A 20,528-nucleotide genomic window follows, 5' to 3' on the forward strand; every position below is an offset into this window, starting at 1 on the left:
AGTATTGATATTAAAAAATTATTGGTAAGTTGCTCTTTGGATTTAGAAATGAACAAAGAGTGAAATTCTTACAATATCAATGTATTTGCTTCATAAGGTCTCCAAGGTAGCTACTTCAAAGTTTTTTCTTTAAAATATTTAAGAAACATCTGTCTTTAAAGGTACACTGACCTTTGAAAAAAGCTATAAAAATAGTCCAGCTATATTTTTTAAAGTAACACTCAGCTTAAAGTATTGTCCTTTTGTTGACCTACATTTTAACATAAGGTGATTCTCTGTTAACTGATCTATAGCCAAGATATCTCCTTTCTGACTACAAGGGAGTCCCTTTGTTTCTTTCAAGTGTAAAGGTTGACACCTGCATCAAATATCTCCCATTGCTAGGATCAAAGGGAATCCTAGAAAAACTAAATTTTACTAAAAATGAATCAATCTATCTGACAGGCAAATAATTTCAAGGCAAATATGAAGTAAGGGAAAGAAAGAAAAAAGAGTAAGGAGTGTTTATTAGGGAAGGCAATGGCAATGGACATGAAGACATTAGTTTGTCCAGCACAAAGGACTAATGCGTAAGGAAGTAACAAGCAACAGTGCAATTGAGGAGTTTAGATATGATACCACTGACAATATATTCCTGAAGAGAATAGGAGAGTTTGGGCTATAAAAATAAATTGCTCCCATAATTCAGTTTGGCAGTATTTTGAGCATACGTATATTGCAATTAAAAACTGGATTCTCTTCAAGGAGAGGCAGTATTTGGTTAAAAAAGAAAAGAAAAGAAACACTGGATTCTCTTGCAAGTGACCGTAATGTAGATAAACCACTGACCTTCAAAAGTGAATGTTGGAGCAAGAATTTACCTTGAATCTAAGAAATGATTCTTCAAACCATTGACTTAGGTTTTTATAATAAAATGGCATTTAAAACACACCTTTGATGATATTTCCTGGTATCTTTAATATGCTTTAAAGTATAATTTCAATATTCTTCTATTATATAAAAGTCAGAGCATTTTTATTTGAAAAGAATTCTAACTCAGGAATACACACAAAACATTTGAGGAGCCCTTTTGTGGCAAAAAAAAAAAAAAGTGCTTCCTTTGGCATATGGCAATATAAAAGGAATAAACTGATCTTATTTGAAATCATGAGGCAGACTTCAGTGGAAGGAGTGGATTCTCACACCATTCAGTACCGCAGGAGACCCCCTGCCCTACTTCACCTTCTACTATCCTTTCTTCCTTGTCCCCGACTCATGGGGAGACTACAACCTATGTGTTGTATTAAATATTTAATCTGCCAATTCAGGAAACACAAGTTACTCAAACTCTTCAGATTTTAGTTTCCTCATTAATTAAATGAGGAGATTATATGACACATTTTCTTAGTAAGAACTTTGTTCAAAACTCCAAATTCTCATTGATTTTCCCCTTTTGTGCAAGGGCTTGGGAAATGCTTCTTGTTTTTTATGCCGTTTTAGCCATACAGTTCTTCCCACTTTGTTCCTCCCTCTCCACCCCCCATGGAGATTACGGTACAACTCATCAGACTTCTGCTTTCTAAACTACAACCTCATTCCAATCCTTTCTCCTGAGACAGATTGATTAGGTCACCATGATTAGATTTTTGCTAGTTATCGATTATAAATTCACAGGTTTCTCTTCTACATACATACACTATTGGATTGATTTACATTTAAAATGCATTCCTTGTATTAATCAAGTAATGGCTTCAAAGCCTATGAACAATTTTATTAAGTTTAGTCCTTTCCTCTTTTATCAGTGTAGATAGATTTAGTGGCATCTCATTGGTGTTGGAAGGTACAGTTTCCATTTTTAGGGCAACTTATTTCTCCCTGGTTGATTTCTTTCCAACTCTGGGCCTGTGTTTAGCTCTACATCCTAGACTTTGGTAAAAAATTTTTATAGTCCAGAGAGATGCCCTGCCTCAAATATGCCTTAAAAAAATAAGCTTGCTTAAAGTAAGGAGGCAGGGGGGAAAGTGAAATTCAAAAGAGACGCACCAGACAAGAAAAACAGGTTAAAAATGTGTTTCTGAACAATAAAACAGAGGTTTTCCTGAAGACATGAATTCTGTTTGAGTCACTGTTCTTTTATCTGCTTAACTGGAAAAATGTTAACACTAATGTGAACTCATTGAAAATGTAACCAATACTTACTGACTACCTTATGTCAGAAGGATTAAAAAACTCCTAGAAAGATGTCAGTCTTTACATTCTAAGAATCAGTTAGGGCACTATGAGTAGAGATAAATTGCCTCTGATCAATATTGTAAATAACTGTTTATTTTAAAAGATGAAGTTTTAGAAACGTAACATAAGATCCTCCTCCCATCTTAGAGGCATCCAAACTATAACCTGGGATTGGATTTTTAAAATATGCCTCAACATTAAGTTTTCCAGGTTCATTAAGTTAGCTATAAAAGGATATTTTTTAAGTTGGAGATGCTTACCTTCATTAACTTCATCATTTTCTTTGTCTACTTGTGCTTTCAAAACATACCGCTTTATAAGTCTTTTCATTATCTGCTGTTGGGCAAAAGTAAATGATTAGATCTCCAATGATATACATAAGTGCCCCAATCCTATTTTCCAAAGAGGCTTACATACCTGTAAAGCAAACAACTCAGGGGAGAAAAAAATTTTATAACTATGTATAGAAAAATTACGCAGGTTTCAGAACTTAACTCTCTTAATGCCTTCTACTGAGACTTACTGCATAATCCACCAATACTTTTTTTTTGCCTCAGAAACGGAAGAAGCTTTTAAAAAGAAGTTAAGCTTGAAGATTTGAATTCATGGCTCCTCTTTCAACTAATAGTTTCTTTTTAAATTACATTGACACCACATTATCACCCATAGACACTACCTTATTTCCCAGTATTTAGAAAAATACATCAATGTATACTCTATATAGAGAATTTGGAAAATATACAGAAGAACAAAATAAACAAATGAAATCATTGGCAACCTCACCAGCCAAAGATAATCACTGTTTTCATTTTGGTGTATGCCCTTCCAATATCTTTTCTTTAAAATTTGTATATATACTAATTACTGTAAGTATTATATTTTATGTTTTCTAAATGCCATATATTTTGTTATATTGCATACGTTTCTCTAATAGCAATATATGTGACTATTTTCAGTCTAAATAAATGCTCTTCTAGGATAACTGTTTACCCATATGGAAAAAATTAAATTGGAGCCCTATTTCATACCATGAACACAAAAATTAATTCCATTTGCATCTTAAATGTGAAAGACAAAGCTTCTGAACCCTTAAAAGAACGTATTATATAAGAGAGTATATTTATAAATTTGGGGTAGACCTGTATTTTTAAAAAAACAAGATTAAAACTTCTGATTACAATAGAAAAGACTGATAAATTCAACTTCATTACAATTTAAAATTTCTGTTTAAAGAGATACTATAAAGAAAGTGAAAAGGCAAGCCATAAACTGGGAGAAAATATTGGTAATGCTTGTAATTAAAAATAATTTATATCCAAATATATAAAGAACTTTAATTCAATAAGAAAAACTCAAATAACCCGATTTTAAAATGGGCAAAAGACAAACAAATGTTTCACAGAAATGGAAACGTGAAGGGTCAACAAGCTTAAGAAACAATTTCAAACTCTGTTGCAGGGAAATACAAATTATGACTAAAAGGAGACACAATTTTACATCTAATAAAGAGAACGATTAATAAATCTGGTTATGCCAAGTGTTAGAAAGGATATGGATCAATGGGGACTTTTATATTTTACTGGCAAGACTGCAGACAACTTTGAAGACAATTTAGTACTATCTTTTTAGTTTTTAAATTGATTTCTATTAACAAAATTTTAGAGGTGGAGTCTCACTATATTGCACAGGCTTGCCTCAAACTCCTGGGCTCAACGCTGTCCTCCTGCCTCAGCCTCTCAAGCAGCTGGAGCTATAGACATGACCCACTGCATCCAGGTGGTATTATCTTTTAAAGTTGAACATTTACATACCCTTTCAGCTAGAAGTCCACTTCTCAGTAAAAGGCCTAGAGAAACTTTGTAGGTATGAACCAAGAGACATACAACAATGTTTGTAGCAACCCTGTCTGAAATTGCAAAACACTGGAAACAATCTAAACAAATATTAACAAGAATAGACAAATTGCAGTATTTTCAATGTAATGTTATTGTGTTCATTAATGAAATTAATGCACCATAGCCACACACAACAGTGTGGATGAATCTTAGAAGCATAATGTTGAATGAAAAATTCCAGTTGCAGAAGACCACAGAGTATGAAGCTATTCTTATGAAGCTCAATAACAAGTAAATCTGTAGAATATATTTTTAGGAATACTGACACATATAAGAAATTATATTTGAAAAGAAAATCAAAGCAAGAAGAGGAGAAACCCAACTTCAAGATAGGGATTAACTCTTAGGTGGAGGCAGAGGAGTAGGTAGCAAGGTGCATATAAGTAGAGGCAATGGACGGATAATGTTATCATTGTCAGGTCGGTGGTGGTTTCATAGGTGTGAATGTAATTATGCTTCATAATTTATTTTGCATTACACATATTCTTAAGCATGTAACAAATGTTGTATATAAAAGATAACAAAGGAAAGGGAAAAAGACCTGAACTAAAATGCAGACATAGCGAGAGTAGAAAATATATACTTCAATTTTAAGAAAGTAGAAATTATGCCAAGGTCAAGTAAAAGAGAAGAATCCAGGAAGATTCAAAATGTTATGCAGAGAATAACAACAGACTGAGAGGGCCCACGCTACTGAAAAGGAAAAGCTCATTTTTCCAGTCACTGTAAGACATAAAACCTGTTGAATTTTGTAGAATCTAGATCCCAGGACAGACTCACAGCTGGATGGATCTTAAACTGGACTGATTCATTCATTCAGCAAATATTTATTGAGAGCCAATTCTGTGGCAGGTACTGTACCAGGTGCTAGGAATACAACAGTGAACACAGTCCCCAGTCCAGTGAAACTTCATATTGATATGGAACCATTCACAATAATGGGTGAACATATCAGGGATCTGGTTAAATTTAGGGGACAGTGAAGACAGATTCCTATAAAATGAAAATACAAAATTATGTGTATCAGTTGAAAGCAGCTTGAAAGGCAGTAATACAAATTGGTGGAAAAGAAATGACTATTTAAAAAGTAGTGCTGAGACAAGTTGAGCCTCTGCACAAGGCAAGAAGGTACCTGAGATTAGACAGAAATCAGTTTCGCCACACATGACACTACCTGGTAATAGTCCATCCCTTTGTTCATGTTGGAAAGATAGTTCATGAGAATTCTAAAATGATCTGCAGCTCAGAGAAGGAGACAAAGATTGGCCATCCCCATTCTATTAGGAAGCTTGTCTAGTAAACCCAAGACAGTATTGTGTAATAGGCAACAAAGACTCTTGAGGTCTCTCTCCCCCTATCGCAATAGTTCCTGAATAAAATCTGTTTTTACCACTTTAGCTGCTGTCTGGCTCTGGTTTTCTTTAACACAGTTGAGACTGTGAGTTGCAAGAACAAATCATGTAGTTTTGAGTTGTGACTCCATCATTCACAAGCTCTGGAACCTTGGTATCTTAATCTGTGTAATGGAAATGCTAGACAGTGTCTTGTAAAAGAGACAATACATGTAAATTACATAGTAGGTGCTCAAATAATATAACTATTATTCTTTCATTATTATCTATGCTTCTGTAAAGCAAATCTTGATAAATCCATCTTAATGATGGTACCACAAGCAAGGACCATGAAACTCATATGTAACAAGTAAAAGTACCATTTTAAATACTACCTTTAACTAAATTTCCAACTGATTCTTTAATTAAAGCTAGTACAAAAAATTAAACTGACCAATAACAGATTCATCTTTTTTCCCTCTTGCTCAAATTGCTAACTAACTAACACAAAAGAAGTCTATAGATTAACTTCCACATTCCACAAACCTCCAGAAATTATATAGCTTTCTTGGTACAAGCCTGTGAGTCACTCTTTAAGGAAGACATTCTAACTCTATAAAGACTATTGATTTTCTCTGTCCAGGGTATGGAAATCCTAGAGAGAGGTTCCAAAACTGAAATTGAGTGGTAACCAGGTAAAGATTCCAGGCGGTACTTACTTCAAACAGTCCTTCCTGCAAACAAACCCAAGTTCATTTTTCAACCCTCCGTTAAGACTGGGAGAAGAAATAAGATGTGGGTGGTTGGGTAGCTGCGGGGTGGTTAGATATCTTCCTTCCTGAAAGGAGTGAAAGTTTTTCTTCTCACTTGGTATTTTTACTGATTCAAATTCAACTAATAATTGTTAAGCACTCTATCAGGTACTTTTACATTCATTCTCTCACTTAATTCTACAGAGAAGCCAAATTTGACTCTTATTAGTAGATTTTGTACTATGAATTTTAACAATCTAAAAAGTGTGAATGAAGGGTAATAAGACTGATGTAGACAAATAGAAAAAAAACTCAGAAGTACAGAGTAAAATTTTAGAAAGGAAAAGGACCTTGGGAATCATTGTTTTTCATGTTTTTATACCACTCACGAAACTTTGTGAAAGATTACCATTACACAGCTTCTGTATAAACTTCTGTGATTGAGGGCCTGCTATTTTTCCAGACAGCTGGTTTAATCTATTTTTGGACAACTATAGCTGTTAGAAAACAACTCCTTTGTTTTGAAGCCAAAATAACTATCGGTCCAAATTCTGTTCTTTGGGGTAACAGAGAATAAATTTGTTTTTTATTCTACTTGATTGACTTTTACCTGTTACTTTTTTCTGCATTTTTTTGTTTTTTGTTTTTTTTGAAGAGGGACCTGCAAACCTATTGATTGACTTTAAAATATCTTCTCTTGTAGGTTTCCCAGTTCTGTTGACCTAAAGAAAAAATCTGAGGCAAACTAAATATATAAGTAGAGAGTTTATCTGGGCCAAGTTTAAGGACTGCAACCTGGGGAGCACAGATTCAAGTTGCCCTGAATATGTGCTCCAATTCGCAGCAATTACTAGTGGGTTTTTAAAGGAAAAGAAGAGGCAGTTCCTAAGTTGTTTATCAAGGACTTACATTGAAATAACATAAGCTTTTGACTGGTTATACATTGTTCTTTGTATCACAAATTCTAGGTACATGAAGATAACAGGTGAGGCTGCAAGTCAGGAACAAATGAATTTAAACAACTGCCCTCAGGCGTGGGTAGAGGTAGGGGACTGTGACTGAAAGTCCCATACTCATGTTCTCTGGGCCTGCATACCTCACATAGTTCAGACTGCTCTGAGCTATTTTTGTTTTCTCTATTCCCAAACCATTTTATTTATATTTCATTGCATTTATATTTATTTCTATTTCATATATAGGCATAACTATACTACATAGCATGTAGCGTTATGTGAATATTTGTCTACTTATACTTTCCTTTCCTTCCTCCTAACCTCAACACTGCCATTCTACTTCAATGGAGAGATTCTTGAAGGCATGACTTATATCTTTGTATCTGTATAACCTAACATCATGTATATAACAGGGGTTGTCCCTGAATGTGCCTGAAGCTCACTGTGAGTGGAGTTCAGGAACATCTCATTTTGCCCCATTTAGAGAAAAACTCTCATGTGCTTCCAGTAAAACCAAGCCATCAATGATATCCTTCATGGATTGGACCAGAGTCCACCACCTGGGCCAAAGACTGTCCAATACTGTATTTGTTTGGACCAAGGGTGTTACCAAAGCGAAGTCATCTGTGAAAGCAGATCTGCCAGCAAGAGACAACAGAGAGAATAAAACTCAAGAACTCATAGTCCAGCTTCAGTGGAGTCTCACAATAAATTCCTATTTCTTAACATATCATAGCATATCTGCGTGCTTTTAACTTGAAATAACCAAACACAAATATCGTTATAATAAATAATAAATAAAATATTGTTAAAATTAGCAGAATTTAATCATGGCCATCCTCCTGAGTATGTTCTTGAGAAAAAAATCACGCCCAGTTAAAAAAAATTCTTTACACACATAAAAGAATTACTTCAACATGCTATTAATAATTAATTTTAATATAAATACCACTATTGATCAAAACATTTTTGGTATTTTTTTTTTTGAGAGAAAGCGTCTTGCTGTGTCACCAGGGCTGGAGTTCAGTGACATGATCATAGCTCATTGCAGCCTCAAACTCCTGGACTCAAACTGCCCTCCCACATCAGCCTCCCAAAGCACTGGAATTGTAGAAGTGAGCCACCATGTCTGGCCCTGATCAAAACATTTTTGAAACTCTTCCGCTGTGGCCCCTTGGGGCATATTTGAATCTCTGTCTTTGAAGAAATTGTTTTGGAGAAAAAAACCCTCATTTGGATATAAAACACATAAGGTGATGACCCTATTGGTGATGGCTACATGTTTGTTGAAGTTGGATGTGATCATTTTTTAAAAAAATGCAAAGTCATGGCACTAAGTCTTATTAATAGGAATAATTAGCTAAGTTCAGTAACTAGAAAAAAATGAAACATTTTTTGAGTCTTATGGACTAATTATAAAAGTAATTCTTTAAAGATGTTCTAAAAATATTCTGAGTTGTGATAGCCTCATTAGAATTAGTATATTCTAAGAGTTATCACTTTGAAAGAAAAATCCCTATTTAGCAGACCAAGTTCTGTTTTTTTTTTTTTTAGTAGAGACAGGGTTTCACCATGTTAACCAGGCTGGTCTCAAACTCTTGACCTCAGGTGATCCACCCACCTTGGCCTCCCAAAGTGCTGGGATTACAGGCGTGAGCCACCACGCCCACCTCCAAGTTCTGTAATAGTTTTAAAGGTAAGTCTTACCTATTATAATCAGGCTGCATGAAAAAAAATCTCTAACAACTAAACAATTGTTATTATTACTCATTGTTATGAACTGAATGTTTTGTCCACCCCAGGCTCATGTGTTCAAATCCTACCCCTCCAATGTGATAGTATTAGGAGGTGATTAGGTTCCACCCTTACAAATGGGATTAGTGCTCTTATAAAAGAGACCCCACAGAACTTCCTTGTCCCTTTTCTGCCATATGAGACAGAGTGAGAAGACAGTTGTCTATGAACCAGGAAGCACTTACAGCTACCTGATTTTCAACAAATGCACCAAGAACATACATTGGGGAAAGGACAGTCTCTTCAATGAATGGTGCTGGGAAAACTGGACATCCACATGCAGAAGGATAAAACTAGACCTCTACCTCTCACCATATACAAAAATCATTTCAAAATAAAGTCTCAGGTGTAAGACTCAAAATGATAAAACTACTAGAAGAAAACAGGGGAAATACTTCAGGACACTGGTCTGGGCAAGGAGTTTTTGGATAAGACCTCAAAAACACAGGCAACAAAAGCAAAAATAGGCAAATGGGATTACATCAAGCATATTTTCAAACTACACATCTGACAAGGGGTTAATATCCAGAATATATAAGAAACTTAAACAACTCAACAGCAAAAAACAAGTAATCCAATTTAAAAATGGGCAAAAGACCTGAAGAGACATTTGTCAAAAGAAGACATACAAATGGACAACAGGCATATGAAAAAATGTTCAACATCACTAATCAACAGAGAAATGCAAATCAAAACCACAATAAGATTTCACCTCACCCTAGTTAGGATGGCTATTATCAAACAGACAAAAAATAACAAATGCTGGTATGGATGTGGAGAAAGAGAACTCATATACTATTGATAGGAATGTAAAATTAGTACAGCCATTACAGAAAACAGTATGGAAGTTCCTTAAAAAATTAAAAATAGAACCACCATATGATTCAAAAATCCTACTACTGGGTATATATCCAAAGGAAATGAAATCAGTATATTGAATAGATACTTAAAAAATTAAAAATAGAACTACCATATGATCCAGCAATCCCACTACTGGTATATACCCAAAGGAAATGAAATCAGTATGTTGAAGAGACATCTGTACTCCCATGTTTACTGCAGCACTATTCACAACAGCCAAAATATGGAATCAACCTAACTGTCCATCAGCAGATGAACAGATAAAGAAAGTATGGTTGTATATATACACACAGTGGAATTCTATTCAGCCACAATGACTTTTTGTCTTTGTGGCAACTCAGATGGACCTGGAGGACATAATGTTAAATGAAATAAGCCAGGTACAGAAAGGCAAATATCATATGATCTCACTCATATGTGACATCTTAAAAAGTTTATCTCATAGAAGTAGAGAGTAGAATAGTGGCTACCAGAAGTTGGAGAGGGCAGGGGGAATGGGAAGTAGGGAGAAGTTGGTCACCAGGTACAAAGTTATAGTTAGATAGAAGAAGTAATTTAAGGTGTTACAGGGCACAGTAGGGGGACTATAGTTAACAACATTGTATTGTATGTTTTAAAATAGCTAGAAGAGAGGATTTTGAATGGTCTTACAACAAAGAAATGATAAATGAACAAGGTGATGAACATGCCAAATACACTGCTTTGATCCTTACACAACGTATACATGTATTGAAATATCACACTGTATGCCATAAGTATGCATAATTATAATGTGTCAATTAAAAATAAAATTAAAAAATAAAGTTTGAGGAAAAAGGAGCCAAAAATAGAAATGGATGAAAAATTCAAAATGAATAGGGAAAAAATGGTAGATATGGAAGACAGTCAAGAAGAATTCAGCAGGCTTTAAATTGGTGTCTTTGAAGAAGAAATTCAAAATAATGGAGCAGAAAAATGTCTTGAGATATTTCAATAAAATTATTCAAAAATTAAAAGAAGACTAAACGTACATATTGAAAGGCCATAGTGTGGCCAGGTGCAGTGGCTCATGCCTGTAATGCCAGCACTTTGGGAGGCCGAGATGGGTGGATCATGAGGTCAGGAGATCGAGACTATCCTGGCTAACACAATGAAACCCCATCTCTACTAAAAAAATACAAAAATTGACCAGGTGTGGTGGCGGCACCTGTAGTCCCAGCTACTTGGGAGGCTGAGGCAGGACAATCACTTGAACCTGGGAGGTGGAGATTGCAGTGAGCCGAGATCACGCCACTGCACTCCAGCCTGGGTGACACAGCAAGACTCCATCTTAAAAAACAAAAAAATAGAAAGGCCATAGTGTATGCCAGGAAAAATTGATACAGATCCATCTATAGAACAATCAATACCAAGTTGTAGGATTTAAAAGATAAAGATATTTGGGGCATTCAAACTAAAACCTCCGGTCAACTATATGAGGAAAACAATCAGGCTGGCCTCAAACTCTTCCACATCAACATTCCATTTCAGGAGGCTCTGGAGCAACATCTACACATACATTAAAAATAAATTATAACCTAAGTATATTACAGGTAGTCAATATAAATATATAGAAATAGAAACTAATTTAGAACATAAAATAACTCAGAGAACATAGTTCTCATAAACTCTTCTTGAAGGAACTACCAAAAGACAAAGTTAAGCTAAGAAAGAGATAAACAGAAAATTATGGCAAAAAAGACTGGTGGTGAATACTGACTATGTTTAACTGTGGGACTAAAACTAAACCAAATGTAGGCTATAGTCCTGACAAGGTAGTGAAGTGGATCAGAATATGTCACCCCAAAATATGCCATTTTGGCATAAGGATTATTTTGAGCTAAAGGCAATTAAAAAGTAGCAAACACAGAAAGAGTTCTCTGCCCTAACCCATCTGCCTAAAAACAGGACATACATTTCCCTTTGTGAAGATCTTCTTCCTCTCCCCCTCCCAGATTAGCAGGAGGAAAAACAATCATTACCACTGGGGACAGAAAGTCAGCACCAAGGTGGTTCTGCACAAGCAAACCTTACTAAAATAACCTGTATCTTCTATCAGTTTCTCCCACATATTTACCTTCCAACAATTTACTACCTTTAGCAACCCAAACACTTTTTCCTTTGTCATATCCCTTCTCCACAAACTTCTTGTCCCTTGTTAAGTTGGTATATAAGCCCCAAATGCCAACTACTCCTTTGAGCCACTCATCACTGAGTTTTTCTACAGGTATGTGCACTGCATGCATAAATAATCCTTTTTTCCCCTCCTGTTTATCAGTCAGTTGTCAGTTTAATTCATAGCCCCCAGGTACTGAACCTAAAGGGATTAAGAAAATTATTCTTCTTCCCCCAACAAACACAGTTCTAATAATTTAACAAGCAGGAGCTGGGAGAGGAAGGGGGAAAATGGTGTAAATAAAACACGGATATTGATTTTCTTCATAGTTTAGAGCTGAAGGATCAAAAGATAAAACTTGAAACATATCAATCAATTAACAGAGATCTAAGTATGTTTAAAAATATTAAGATAAACACCAAGACATATAGTATAATCCACTTCAGCAGACACTGCCACTTCTCTTCCACAGCTTTTTAGTTTGGCACATGGCCACTTGAAATTAGGACTTTATTTTCCAGGCTCCATTGCAGATAGGTGGTTTGTGCAACTTTACAGAAATTTCTTATAGGAAGGAACTTTCTTCTCTATCACTTTCTAACTGTATTTTGGAATGTAGAAATAATAGGCAGAGCTCCAGGAGCTTTCTTGGAACATGAGATAATGTTAGACTGAAAGCCATTCATGATGCAGTAATACGATGGAAAAAGCCTGGGTCCCTGACATTGTTAGGTACCACATTAGGAACATGAGAGAGAAATAAATTTCTATTTTCTTTTAGCCATTTAAAGGTTTGTATGTGGTGGTTTTGTGAGAACTGCACCAAATTAATCATAATTAATATAAATAATAAGGGGACTACTTTAAAATGTCACTGAATACACAAAAGACCTAATAAATCGAAAAGTATATCCTTAGAAAAGAAAACACAACATTATAAAGCATCAATTTGCCTTAACGTGATCAAAATAAAGATACCAGCAGACAAGCCCACCTTAAAATTCAAATAGAGAAATAAGGAAGAGGTTGGGTGCTGGTGGCTCATACCTTTAATCCCAGCATTTTGGGAGGCTGAGGCAAGTGGATCACTTGAGGTCAGGAGTTCAAGACCAGCCTGGTCAACATGGTAAAACCCAATCTCTACTAAAAATACAAAAGTTAGCTGGGTGTGGTGGCAGGCACCAGTAGTCCCAGCTACTCGGGAGGCTGAGGCAGGAGAATTGCTTGAATCCAGGAGGTGGAGGTTGCAGTGAGCCGAGATTGCACCACTGCACTCCAGCCTGGGCAAGAGAGGCAGACTCTGTCACAAAAAAAAAAAAAAAAAGAATGAAAGGAAAAATAATAGGAAATTCTGTAAAATAAAAACCCTGAAGTAAGGATGTGTATGTGTGTGTGCGTGTGTGCGTGTGTATGTACACACGTGCAAGAATGCACATGTATGTGTGTTTTGTTTGTTTGATTTTTGTCTTAAACTATAATAATTATGATAATGTGGTTCTACAGCATGAATAGATCAGTGGAACAGAATGAAAAGCCTAGAAATAAATTTATACAGGAATTTAGTAAATTATTAAAGTGGTATTTCAAATCAATAGAAAAGATAGATTATTCAACACACCCAACTGTATAATAATCTGGAAAGACAACATATTTGGATTCCCATCCTACAGGTTAAATGAAAATATATTCTATATGAATCAAATATTTTCAGAGTCCAAAGAAGTGAAAGAACTAAAGAAATATGAGTTAAAAATATTAAATAATCTCCTATGGGGGAAAAATCTTTCCAAGTAGGACACAAAACCTGACGCCATAAACAATTTGTAACGTTGACTATACAAAAATAAAAAAAGTTGTGAATGGGAAAAAATACTTTAAATATTAAAAAGACACACAATAACCTGGTAAAAAACATTCTTAAGTCATAACACAAAGGCTAATATTGTTAAAATATGAAGAATTCCTCTTCATTGATAACAAAAAGCCCTTCAAGTAAAGCAAATATATATGGAGACATAAGGATATATAACATTAAACATAAAAAGGAAGGTAAAACTCATTCATGATAAAGAAATGCAAAGCAGCACATTTTAACCTATCTGGTGAAGATAAAAACCTTTGGTAACACACTGTTTGTAAATTAGGGAGGAAATAGGTGCTCTCATATATTTATTGTAAGAATGTAAGTTAGTACAAGCTCCATCAGTTTGATAATAGCTAAAAAATTAAAATTCAAATATACTTTAACCAGACAATTCCATGTATTTGTTCATGATTGAGATGTTATATATACAAAATGACTTACTACAGTGTTGCTTATAATAGCTAAATATTAGCAATATCCTCTATTTTCATCAATAAAAGAATGATTAAATAAGTATAACCATATGATGGAATACAATGTAACTACCAAAAGTAAAACTTTAACTTTAAAAAGAGACAAAGAAAGGCATTATATAATAATAAGGGGATCAGCTCAGCAAGAGAATATACCAGTTATAAATATACATGCACCCAATACTAGAGCACTCAGATATATAAAGCAAATATTATTAAGTCTAAAGGGAGAAATATATCCTAATATAATAATAGTTGGGAACTTCAACCTCACTCTCAGCATTAGACAGATCATTCAGACAGAAAATCAACAAAAAACCATCAGATTTAAACTACACCAAGACCAATGGACCAAAAATATATTTACAGAACATTTTACCCAACAGCTGGAAAGTACACATTCTGTTTTTTTTTTTTTTTTTTTTTTTTTTGAGACAGTGTCTCACTCTGTACCCTAGGCTGGAGTGCAGTTGTACAATCATGGCTCACTGCAGTCTCAACTTCTTGGGCTCAGGTGATCCTCCTACCCCATCTTCCCAAGTATGTAGGATTACAGGCATGTGCCACTATGCCTGGCTAATTTTTTTCACTTTTGCAGAGACAAGGTCTCACCATGTTGCCCAGGCTGGTCTCAAACTCCTGAGCTTAAGCAATCCTTCTGCCTTGGCCTTCCAAGGCAGGTGTGAGCTACCAGACCCAACCCCAAAACATATATTCTTTTAATCAGCACGTGGTACATTCTCTATGATTGACCATATGTTAGGACATAAAACAAGTCTCAGGAACTTAATAAAATCAAAATTATATCAAGTATTTTATCTGACCACAATGGAATAAAATTAGACATCATAACAAAAGGCACATTTGAAACTATGCAAATACATGAAAATTAAACAACATATTCCTGAATGACCAATGAGTCAAGGAAAAAATTAAGAATGAAATTTTAATATTCCTTGAAATGAGTGAAAATAGAAATACAACATACCAACACCCATGCAACACAGCAAAAGCAGGATTAAGGGGCAAGTTTATAGCAATAAATGCCTACATCCATCAAAAAACTAGAAAGATTTCAAACAATCTAATGATGCACATAAAGGGAAAAAAGCATAAAAAATGCTTGAAAAAAGCATGCAAGAAAAGCATGAACAAATCAAACCCCAAATTGGTAGAAGAAATAATAAAGATTAGAGCAGAAATAAACAAAATTGAGACTAAAATAAATACAAAAAATCAACAAAACAAAGTTTTTTTTAAAAAGATAAACAAAATTGACAAATCATTAGCTAGAGTAACTTAAAAACAGAGAGATATGACTCAAATAAATAAAATCAGAAAATGAAAAAGGAGACATCACAATGGATAATAGAGAAATATGAAAGATCACTAGAGACTACTATGAATAACCATATGCCAATAAATTAGAAAACCTGGGAAAATAGATAAAATCACAGACACATTCAATCTACCAAGATTGAACCAAGAAGAAATAGAAAATCTAAACAGACCAAAAACAGGTAACAAGATTAAATGAGTGCATAAAACATCTCCCAAAAAAATAAAATAAAGTCCAGGACCAAATGGTTTCACTGCTGAATTCTACTGAACCTTTAAAGAAGAATTAATACTAATTATTCTCAAACTAATCGAAAAAATTAAAGCAGAAGGAATTCTTCTTAACTCACTTTATGAGACCAGTATAACCCCAATACCAAAATAAGGACACAATAAAACTACAGGCCAATATCCCTGATGAACATAGATGTAAAAATCCTCAATAAAATATTAATAAACCAAATCCAAAATCACATCAAAATCCCACTTGATAGTGGGACTTATCCCAGGAATGCAAGGATGTTTCAACATACAAAAATCAATAAACATCATACATCACATCAACAGAATGAAGGATAAAAACTGTATGATTATCTCAACAGATGATAAAAGCTTTTCATAAAATTCAATATTCCTTTATGATAAAAAATCTTAATAAATTAGGTATAGAAAGAAAGAATCTCAATGTAATAAAGGCATACAACAAACCCACAGCTAACATCTTACTGAACTGGGAAAAGCTGAAAGGTTTTTTAGAAGTGTAACAAGACAAGGATGCTCACTATCACCACTCTTATTCAACATAGTATTGGATGCTCTGGCCAGAACAATTAGGCAAGAGAAAGAAAGAAGGGTATCCAAATTGGAAAGGAGGAAGTCAAATTGTCCCTGTTTGCAGACAACATGATCGTATACATTGAAAAACCTACAGACTCTACCAAAAAACTTTTAGAACTGATAAACAAATTCAGTAAAGTAGCAGAATACAAAATTAACATACAAAAATCAGTTGCATTTCTATACACGAACAACAAACTACTTGAAAAAGAAAATAAAAAAGGCAATGCCATTTACAATACTCAGGTATAAATTAACCAAGGAGATGAAAGACCTCTTCAAGGAAAACTACAAAACACTGATGAAAGAAACTGAAGAGGATACAAACAAAGGGAAATGTACCACATGCTCATGGATCAGAAGAATTACTACTGTTAAAATGACAACGGTACTCAAAGCAATCTACAGATTCAATGCAACTCCTATCAAAATACCAATGACATTATTCACAGAAATAGAAATAATATCCTAAAATTTGTAGGGAATCATAAAAGACCCCAAATAGCCAAAGCAATCCTGAGCAAAAAGAACAAATCTGGAAGTATCACACAATCGGACCTTAAAATATATTACCAGGCTGTAGAAACCAAAACTACACGGTACTGGCATAAAAAGACACATAAACCTATGGAACAGAATTAAGAACTCAGAAATTAATCCATGTGTCTATAACCAACTGAGTTTTTACAAAGATGCCAAAAACACTCATTGGGAAAAGGACAGTCTCTTCAATAACTGGTGCTGGGAAAACTGGATATCCATATGCAGAAGAATAAGACTAGACTCCCACTTCTCACCTTGTATAAAAATCAGGGCAAAATGGACCAAAGACCTAAATGTAAGACCTGAAATGATAAAACTAGTAGAAAAAAACATAGGAGAAATGCTTCAGGACACTGGTCTGGGAAAATATTTTATGAACAAGACCTCAAAAGCAGAAGTAACAAAAGCAAAAATAAACATATGGGATCATACCAAACCAAAGGCTTCTTGGTTTGGTTCATACCAACAAAGGAAAAAACAACAGTGAAAAGACAGCCTACAAAATTGGAGAAAATATTTGCAAATTGCTCATCCAATAGGGGATTAATATCCAGAATATACAGGGAACTCAATCATCTCAACAGCAAAAAAAAAAAAAAAAAAAAAAAAAAAAAAAAAAAAAAATTCCAATTAAAAATGGGCAAATAATCTGAACAGACATTTCTCAAAAGAATACATACAAATGGTCAATGATATATGAAAAAATGCTCGACATCACTAACCAAACCACAATGAGGTTATCATCTCACTCCAGTTAGAATGTCTACTATCAAAAAGACAAAAAAAAAATGCTGGTAAGAATGCAGAGAAAGGGAACTCTAATATGTTGTTGATGGGAATGTAAACTAGTACAACCATTATGTAGAACAGTATGGAGGATTTTCCAAGAACTACAAATAGAGCTACCATATGATCCAGCAACCCCACTACGGGAATTTATCTAAAGGAAAAGAAATCATTATATCAAAGAGACAACTGCACCCACATGTTTTATTGCAGCACTATTCACAATATTCAAAATATGAAATCAACCTAGGTGTCTAACAGCAGATGAATGTATAAAAAATGTAGTATATATACACAACGGAATGCAATTCAGCTATAAAAAAGATTGAAATCCCATCATTTGCAGCAACATGGATGGAACTGGAGGACATTATGTCAAGTGAAATAAGCCAGGAACATAAAGTTAAGCACCGCATGTTCTAACTCATAAACTCATATGTGGAAGCTAAAAAAAGTTGATCTCACAGAGGTAAAATGTAGGACGAAGGATACTAGAGACTGGGAAGGGTAAGGGGTAGGGAGGGATATGGAGAGATTTGTTAAAGGATACAAAATTACCGCTAGATAGGAGGAATAACTTCTAGTGTTCTACACCAGGAGTCCCCAACCCGCAGATGAAGGACTGGCATCTGTCCGTGGCCTGTCAGGAACCAGGCTGCACAGCAGGAAGTGACAGGCTGGCAAGCGAGCATTACCGCTTGAGCTCCACCTCCTGTCAGATTAGCAGCGGCATTAGATTCTCCTATTATTGTGAACCCTATTGTGAACTGCACATGTGACAGATCTAGGGTGTGCACTCCTTATGAGAATCTAATGCCTGAAGAGCCTGAAGATCTGAGGTGGAACACTTTCACCCTGAAACCATCATTCCACCCCATCTGTGAAAAAATTGTCTTCCACAAAACCGGTCCCTGGTGCCAAAAAGGTTGGGGACCACTGTTCTATACCACTATAGCATGACCATAGTTAACAATGATATATTAATATTATATAGTTTCATATAGCTAGAAGGAGGATACTGAATGTTACCAACACAAAGAAATGATAGATGTCTGAGATGATGGATATGCTAATTACCCTGATCTGATTCCTACATATGTATCAAAACATCACTATGTAGACAATGAGTAAGTATAATTATTTATCAATTAAAAATAAAGTTAGACAAAACCAATAAAACAAAAATAAACAAATATGTAAAATTTACAAAAATTTTCTTAAAAAAAAGACTTTGACAATCAGTGGGCTGAGCCATTTTGTGGTTTCCTGCTTCTAAAAAAATTGGATAAAAAATAGAACAATACGCAGTAACGGACATCACCAATATATTATAAATTCCTTGATCGTCACTTTTGTGAACTTATACACATTAGAAAGTCAAAGACTTGATGATCGAAATGATCAACGAGATGAAAAACAAAGGGCTATAACTTCCCCTGAGTTGGAGAATAGTGTTCAAATGTCACATCCAGTATCAAAATGCAAAAGATATTTTAAAGTAGCACTCATGAAACAGTATAGCCAAACAATCCATTTAAAAAATGGATCACCTGAAAGAAAAACCTAGAGAAAAAACAAGTTTTCCTGCCATGGGAGCATTATTCATTCTAACATACTCTGTCTTCTACTGCTTTCTCCAGTTTAAGTTATACATTATTTGGCAATTGTAGCAACACTTTGCTTTCAATATTGTGAGAGGAACTCTTAGTTAAAAAAATGAAGGACTTGGACTCTGATTTCTAAAGTCTCCTCCAACTAACATACTATTTTCTTTTATTTTTAATTTTTTTTTAAAAAATTTCACAGGTGTTGAATCATTTTCTTTGTTCTGAACTATCCTCATGGTATAATGGTATATCTCAAGAATATAACTCAACTCATGACACACACACAAACACACACGCAGACATATATGGAATCACATAGAGATCAAGAGATACGTCTAATGAATGCTTACCTGATAACGTGTTGGCTGATTGAGAATGCTGTTAAAACTGTGTGATTCAAAAACTCTTGAGTTAGACTGAGTGAAGAGGTTTAACTAGGAAAAAATACAATTAACCTAGTAAATTAGAATACATTCATTTGGAATAAAAAATATAATCCATTTATTCTCCTTGATAACATTTCTGGAGTCAACATTCCCAAGAAACATTTTGTGGAAGTTGAGCTTTGTAAGTGATGTAATATATTCCCAAAGGTTAAAATTACTGTGAGCAATATGCTCACATTTATCAAAATGTTGGCAGGATGTACTACTGTAATAGAACTATTTAATGGAAAATATATGTTAAAAATTGGCTCATAATAAACATAATTTTCCCTGGGGACCTTGTATACTTTATCAAAATGTACTCAAGGCATCTAGAAGGCCAAATTCCATAGAAGTTTGATCTGTTCCTGAGCCTAAGTTCCTCTTCTAGATTTGAATAGAAACATATTGCAGGTTCAGATGGCACCATTTGGTATTTTGCAGCCCTAAAATATTAGCCAAAATAACACATCTTCCAAAGCATCTTGGCCTTATGCTAAGCCAGGTTCACAATTTTGGAGAGAATTGGGCTAAAGAATTTTGGTTTCCTTTTCTTTTCTCTCTTTTTCTTTTTAAGGTTTAGCTTTTGAGTGGGTAGGAACAGGAAGCAAGAGGAACACACAGGTAATACCTAGTCTTCATGTATACGAGCAGGGCCTCTTATCTGTGGCCAAGCTCTGCCACTGTAAGGTGTGATTCAAACACATGGCCCTCTAGCCAAAGA

The 20,528-nt window shown here is 34.6% G+C and overlaps 1 protein-coding gene across 8 annotated transcripts in view; it reads right to left on the bottom strand.

Annotated features, from left to right (window-relative positions):
- TRPC3 (transient receptor potential cation channel subfamily C member 3) overlaps window positions 1–20,528 on the bottom strand; it is a 77,580-nt gene that overhangs the window by 5,402 nt on the left and 51,650 nt on the right. For 3 of the 8 annotated variants that reach the window (NM_001130698.2, XM_011532217.4, NM_003305.2), the window contains 2 exons: window positions 19,730–19,813; window positions 2,472–2,547 (listed from right to left, as the gene is read on the bottom strand). In NM_001130698.2, coding sequence (NP_001124170.1) covers window positions 2,472–2,547; window positions 19,730–19,813 — 160 coding nt within the window. Of the gene's footprint in view, window positions 1–2,471; window positions 2,548–19,729; window positions 19,814–20,528 lie in introns of those variants that run through there. The other 5 variants (XM_011532218.4, XM_017008578.3, NM_001366479.2 and 2 more) reach the window with 4 other exon arrangements.

Source organism: Homo sapiens, chromosome 4 (assembly GCF_000001405.40).
Source record: "Homo sapiens chromosome 4, GRCh38.p14 Primary Assembly".
Classification (NCBI taxonomy): domain Eukaryota; kingdom Metazoa; phylum Chordata; class Mammalia; order Primates; family Hominidae; genus Homo; species Homo sapiens.